The sequence below is a fragment of the Homo sapiens genome, chromosome 10 (genome assembly GCF_000001405.40).
Source record: "Homo sapiens chromosome 10, GRCh38.p14 Primary Assembly".
NCBI lineage: Eukaryota > Metazoa > Chordata > Mammalia > Primates > Hominidae > Homo > Homo sapiens.
Window position 1 is genome coordinate 8,361,120 of NC_000010.11, and position 6,189 is coordinate 8,367,308.

The 6,189-nt window shown below is 39.8% G+C and overlaps 1 annotated feature.

Moving 5' to 3' along the window:
* Positions 4,983–5,062: an enhancer, noted in NCBI's record as "active region_2988". NCBI's record gives its function as "activates an Ori minimal core promoter by ATAC-STARR-seq in GM12878 lymphoblastoid cells {active_cell/tissue: GM12878}" and the evidence as "EXISTENCE:reporter gene assay evidence [ECO:0000049][PMID:35858748]".

The window sequence follows — 6,189 nt, forward strand, 5'->3', positions numbered from 1 at the left end:
TTTTAAATTTGAGAAGCTATCAGTAAAGCTCAAAATACAATTTTTATATGTATTTAATAATTGAAATTTTCTTTTTTAACCATTCTCTTATAGCAGACAAATAGGTTTCCCATGAGGTAGCTATGAGAGGTGCCTTGCCATAGAGGTCAGAGGTATCTGACTGTAAATGAGGTCTCAAGAAAAATATTCTATTGCTGAATCAAACCTGAATTATTGGCACAAGCCTTTTCTGTGTGGTTAACCAGGGCATGTAATATTTTGAGAGCATGAAAAAAATTGCTGACTCGTCACTGATAATGAGTGTAGCTTGGTAAACTGAGATAATGAAAAGAGGTAATCACATTTCATGCTTTAGGGCATACGTTGATCACTTGCAGGAGTCAGGAAGGAATTTCTCCCTCCCAGCAGAACGACATGATGCTGAGTTCCTGAAGGCATCTGGAAGCCTCTAAGGTCTTGCCTGGAGCAGGAATACTTGCATGGGACAGTCTGATTCTAGCCTGAGGACCCACTGTTCCTCTGCACATTCTGAGCATGCAGGCAGATTTCTATCTTGTTCTTTGTGCTGGGAAGGGCTGTTTCATTGTTTCCTGGTTTGGCTGCTGATTGGTCTTACTCAAAAGTTGATGGAAGTGGTGATGCCATGTGCTGCAACACGCATACTCTTGCTTTCAACCCTGATGTTATGTTACATGAAATACTATTCTCAGAACAAAGGTAGACACTATACAGCATTTCCCCAGTTATTCTTGGACAGAAAAAGAGAAGAGATATTGTGCTGTCTAAACTGCTAGTATCCTCTTCCTTTTTCCACTTTCTTCCATAAAGTAAGGGCTGAATAGTCTTGTAGATTTAATTTTTATTCTTCGTTCTGTCCATCTTAAACCAGCCTTTCTCAGCTAAGTTTTCTCATCTGACCTGCAGAAGTATAGTTTGAGTGACTACTCTCTACATTTTCCTGAAGATGGTATGTAATTAAGACCTTTCTATATGTATTGGAGAGAAGTTAATTCATTAAATAAAAGGATGCCTCTTTGCAGTGGGATAGTCAGATAGCATACAGAGTTGCCCTGGGAAGGTTTTGTCCTTCATGCCCCCTGTAGGCTATGTTCCTGTCATCTACAGAAGCATTAAAGCATTTAGTATGCAGGCTTGCATTTGTCCCTGGTTGGCCAGGGTCTTCGGTTTAGAGTTCATCTTCCCCCAGCAAGTGCACATCCTCTAGTCCAAACCATTCCCTTCCTATTTGCCTGTACTGAAACTCACCGGTCTCATTTTCTAGGGATCCTTGCTCTTTGAGAGGGAGGAGGGTATACTAACAGAATGTTTTCAGTAAAGGGAGATTAGATTAATTAAATAATGCCTCTGCAGCAGGTTTCTCAATGCCTAATCTAGTGATATAATTTCAATGCCTACTCTAGTGATATATATATATGATATATATATGATATATATGAGATATATATCTCATATATATATCATATATATCATATATATCTCATATATATCATATATATATCATATATATATCATATATATCATATATATATCATATATATATCATATATATCATATATATGATATATATATCATATATATCATATATATATCATATATATCATATATATCATATATATATCATATATATCATATATATATCATATATATCATATATATATCATATATATATCATATATATATCATATATATATCATATATATAATATATATATCATATATATCATATATATCATATATATCATATATATCATATATATATCATATATATCATATATATCATATATATCATATATATATCATATATATCATATATATATCATATATATATCATATATATCATATATATCATATATATATCATATATATCATATATATATCATATATATCATATATATCATATATATATCATATATATCATATATATCATATATATATATCATATATATCATATATATATCATATATATGATATATATGATATATATATGATATATATCAGATATATATCATATATATATATTCAGAATGCTTCTAAGGAATGATTAAATAGTAGGAGATTTCGGTAACCTTAGACTGGTGGAAATAAAAATCACCTACTGTGTATTTAATATAAGGTAGCATGCTAAGCACTGAAATATAGAGATGAATGGAACAAGACTTATGTTTCCACATTTTTCACAGTCAAGTTAGGGAGACAAATGAGCGGACAAATACAAACAAAGAATTGGCAAACCATGAAATGTAAACTTTTCCTAAAGTCCATGAAGAATCATGGAAGGGTTTAGCAGAGATATGCTCTGACCTCGTCAGTCCGATGGCTTTGTGCAAGATGGCTGGGTGGGGGCACCTAACACCAGAGACAGGCAGACTGTTGGGGAAGTTTTTGAAATCTTCTAGGTAAGAAAAACAATGAGGGGTTGACCCAGGCTGTGATAAGAAGGAAAGGAAAAATTGGAAGATATGTAGATTAATTTCAGATATAAATGGATGGATGAGTGATTGGATGTGGGTATTGAAAAACAGGAATAATAAAGATGACTCATGGATTGGTGGTCTAGCTAGGCCCAAAAGGATGGTGGAGGCATTGGTGAGAAGGGACACCCAGGAGCACGAACGAGGCTCTGGGGAAAGAGGGAAAGTTCAATTTTGAGTATGTGGACTTTGAGGAGCCCATGTAACCTTCTGGTGGAGCTAATAGGTCAAAAGGGCTATAAGGCTCTGACACTCAGAAAGGAGATTTGTGTTGGGGATAGAGATTTGGGAATCTCAGTGTTGATGGGAGAGTCAAGGAAGAGTAGAGAGAATATAGGACATGTGAAGGAAATCCTGAGATGTGCAGCGTGGGGGAGTGGAGAGGATACAGACTTTGCAATCAGAACATCAGCACTCATGTCTGACAGTTCGTGAGCTCTCAAAAAATCACAAACCCCAATGCCATAATTCCCATCAGGGTGAGGCTCTGTCTTCTTCATCTTTGTATCACAACATCTAGCACCGTTTCCTGCACACAGTAGGTGTCCAATCATGCACTTACTGGATGAAAGAGGGCCCCACGAAGCAACAGTGGCCTGATGGGGAAACCAAAAGCAGGAAAACGGTTTCAAGGAAGAGGGTGTGGTCACAGTGTCACTTGCAGTCAAAGGTTAAGTAAGACTGAGAAGGGTCCAGTAGATCCGGCAATCAGTGGGTCATTCGTGACCGTGGGGAGAGCCATGGTGGAATGCAGGGAGTTGAGGGGTGAGCAGCAGGTAAAACGGGGTGGCAGTGAGTTGCTCCATTACTTTTCTATGAAGTTAAGCAGTGAGGGGGAAAAGAGACACTCGCCGCCAGCATGTGGTTAGTACCCTGTAAATTACAGAGGTTATTAGTGTTCAACAGAGGCATCCTCAACAGGTCACTTGGCTCCTACCCTCTATCCTTAGCCAGCCTGGGAACATCCCTTCAGCAGCCCAGGCCTGAGCAGAAGCTGGTTGCCCCCAGTCTCTCAGGCAGCAGTTTCCATAAAGCTCTTATTAATGGAACCCCCAAATCCGTCTGCCTTATAACTCCCATTCATTGGTTCTCCTCCAGTTTGGCCTTCTCCAGCCGCAAGTTACATCCGTTGTAACTGCTCCATTTTCATGAGCCATGAAGAAAACAAAGGAAAGAACAAAGGCTGCTGTTGGAAACACCTGATTCTCAGGTAGTTTTATCCCATTTTCTTGGCCTTTCTTGAAACTTTGATATATGCCATCAACCAAAATTATGGTCTCATAATTTCCACCAGTTGGTAAAAACTTAGGAGGTGAGAGCATTTGCAGGTAACATGAAATTGGATCCCAAAACATGCTTTAACTGCGGGCTGTTAGGAGTACAGCAGGAAAATCACAAAATTGTGCTTATTGAAACTAATTTAGGCTGGGTGAGGGGGCTCACATCTCTAAATCCCAGCACTCTGGGAGGCCGAGGTGGGAGAATCACTTGAGCACAGGAGTTCAAGACCACAAGCCTGGGCAACACAGTCAGATCCCCCGATCTCTACAAAATAAAAAAAAAAATTAGCTGGGCATGGTGGCATGTACCTGTAGTTCCAGCTACTTGGGAGGCTGAGGCTGGAGGATCACCTGAGCCCTGGAGGTCAAGGCTGCAGTGAGCTGTGATTGTTCTACTGCACTCAGCCTGGGCAACAAAGGGAGACCCTGTTTCTGAAAAAAAAAAAAGGAAGTAATTTATATAAGTAAACTATTTAGAAAAAAAGGCAAAGTAGTTTCATAAGCAAAATAAAATAATATTTTTTCCCTTTCCTTTCAACTTTTTTTTTTCTCATTTGGGAAGAGAAACAAATAAATTTGGGCCCAGGAAAAGTTTTGATTTCTGTACTTAAAATTTTAAAAGCATAATGGAGATAGCTAATCTGTCAACCATAGACATTTACTTAATTAACTCTTAAAAATGTAAAAACATTGGTTTATTTGATTTACTATTATATATCCATTACTGCCATAATTTTAACAGTGGATAATTTATGGTTTCTCTATAAATCAAGGCTTGGGGAATTATTTTAAAGTTAGCTTTCGATATTTATTCACTGTCTAGGCTCATCTAATGGAAGATCCTTTGGTGCCTTTAACTTTAGAAGCAGAAATTACAAGTTGATCCATTTCCATCTGAAAATATATCAGTTTTTCATGCTACAGTGAAATGTCTGTAGCATGGACTTAAAGTGTTTAAAAAAGTTAGTCTGGTTGTTGACATGATTTAAAACCGCAGCTGTATGTGTGTGTGTGTGTGTGTGTGTGTGTGTGTGTATATATATATATATATATATATATTTATTTAATAAAATCCAGTCTTCATTGCCCTAGAAACAGGTACATTAACATGTGGTTAAGTTCTAACCACAAGTCTTACAAGGCCCAACTTCCCAGGCCTGTTCCATTTTACTTTTTCTTTTTTTTTGTCGTTGCAGTTTCTTGTTTGTGGCCACGAAACTGCATTGGCATTAATGCACCTCATCAGAGTTACAGGTTTCATGAGAAGTCTTTAAAAAACTGGATGAGAGGCTGCAGCCCCTTCCAGCTGCAGTAGAGGCGTGATTCACCCGAGGACCGGGTACTTTCCACAAACTGAGGGCGGGGAGACTGTCCTTGCATGCTTCAGGCCCTGACGCAGGCCTGAAAGCCAAACTCCTCCCGGCCCACCCATTTAGCCATAGGCTTCAGAAACCTGTTTCTGTGTGGTTGGGAAAGAGCAGAGGGTGGGATTCCTTGAGGATGGCTCACTGCTTTCCTCTGTGACCCTTGAATACTTTTGTCCCAGGTTTAAACTGGTCAAACCTTTCTTCCTTAACCCATGAAGGGAAAGCCAGGCCTTATCTCTTCTCAGTTGGGAAAGTAACATTGACGCGATCTGTCCACATTCACTGAGATATCTCCTCTGCGCAGCCAAGGAATGAGACTGAAATGCATTTTGTGATTCACTGTACAAATATTGAACATCTGTTCCGCGTCCGGAATGTGGCGGTCACTGCCGATACCAAGGTGGGAAACCATCTACTCTCCAGCCGTTCACAGCTTAGCCTAGAAAACAAAACTGCTCAAAACCATGAAGACAAGGCTGAAAATTATGTGTCATAAAAGTAACATAGGTAAGGCGCTGTGGGAGTGAGAGGAGGTGTACTTGGTTAAGAAGGCTGAGAGTGAGGAATGAGAGAAGGCTTCATGGAGGCGGTGACCTTTGAGCTGGCACTTGGAGGATGTCCAGAGCTTCACTGTCAGAGAATCAGTGACCTGGCTTTTCAAGTTTTCTGAGAAAACAGAAAGTGTCACTAAAGCACAGAGTGTGAGGAGAGGAGACAGCTAGGTGAATTTAATGGAGTCACCATCTTAAGAATTTTTTTTTTTTTTTTTTTTTTTTTTTGAGACGGAGTCTCGCTCTGTCGCCCAGGCTGGAGTGCAGTGGCGCGATCTCGGCTCACTGCAAGCTCCGCCTCCCGGGTTCACGCCATTCTCCTGCCTCAGCCTCCCGAGTAGCTGGGACTACAGGCGCCCGCCACTACGCCCGGCTAATTTTTTGTATTTTTAGTAGAGACGGGGTTTCACCGTGTTAGCCGGGATGGTCTCGATCTCCTGACCTCGTGATCCGCCCGCCTCGGCCTCCCAAAGTGCTGGGATTACAGGCGTGAGCCACCG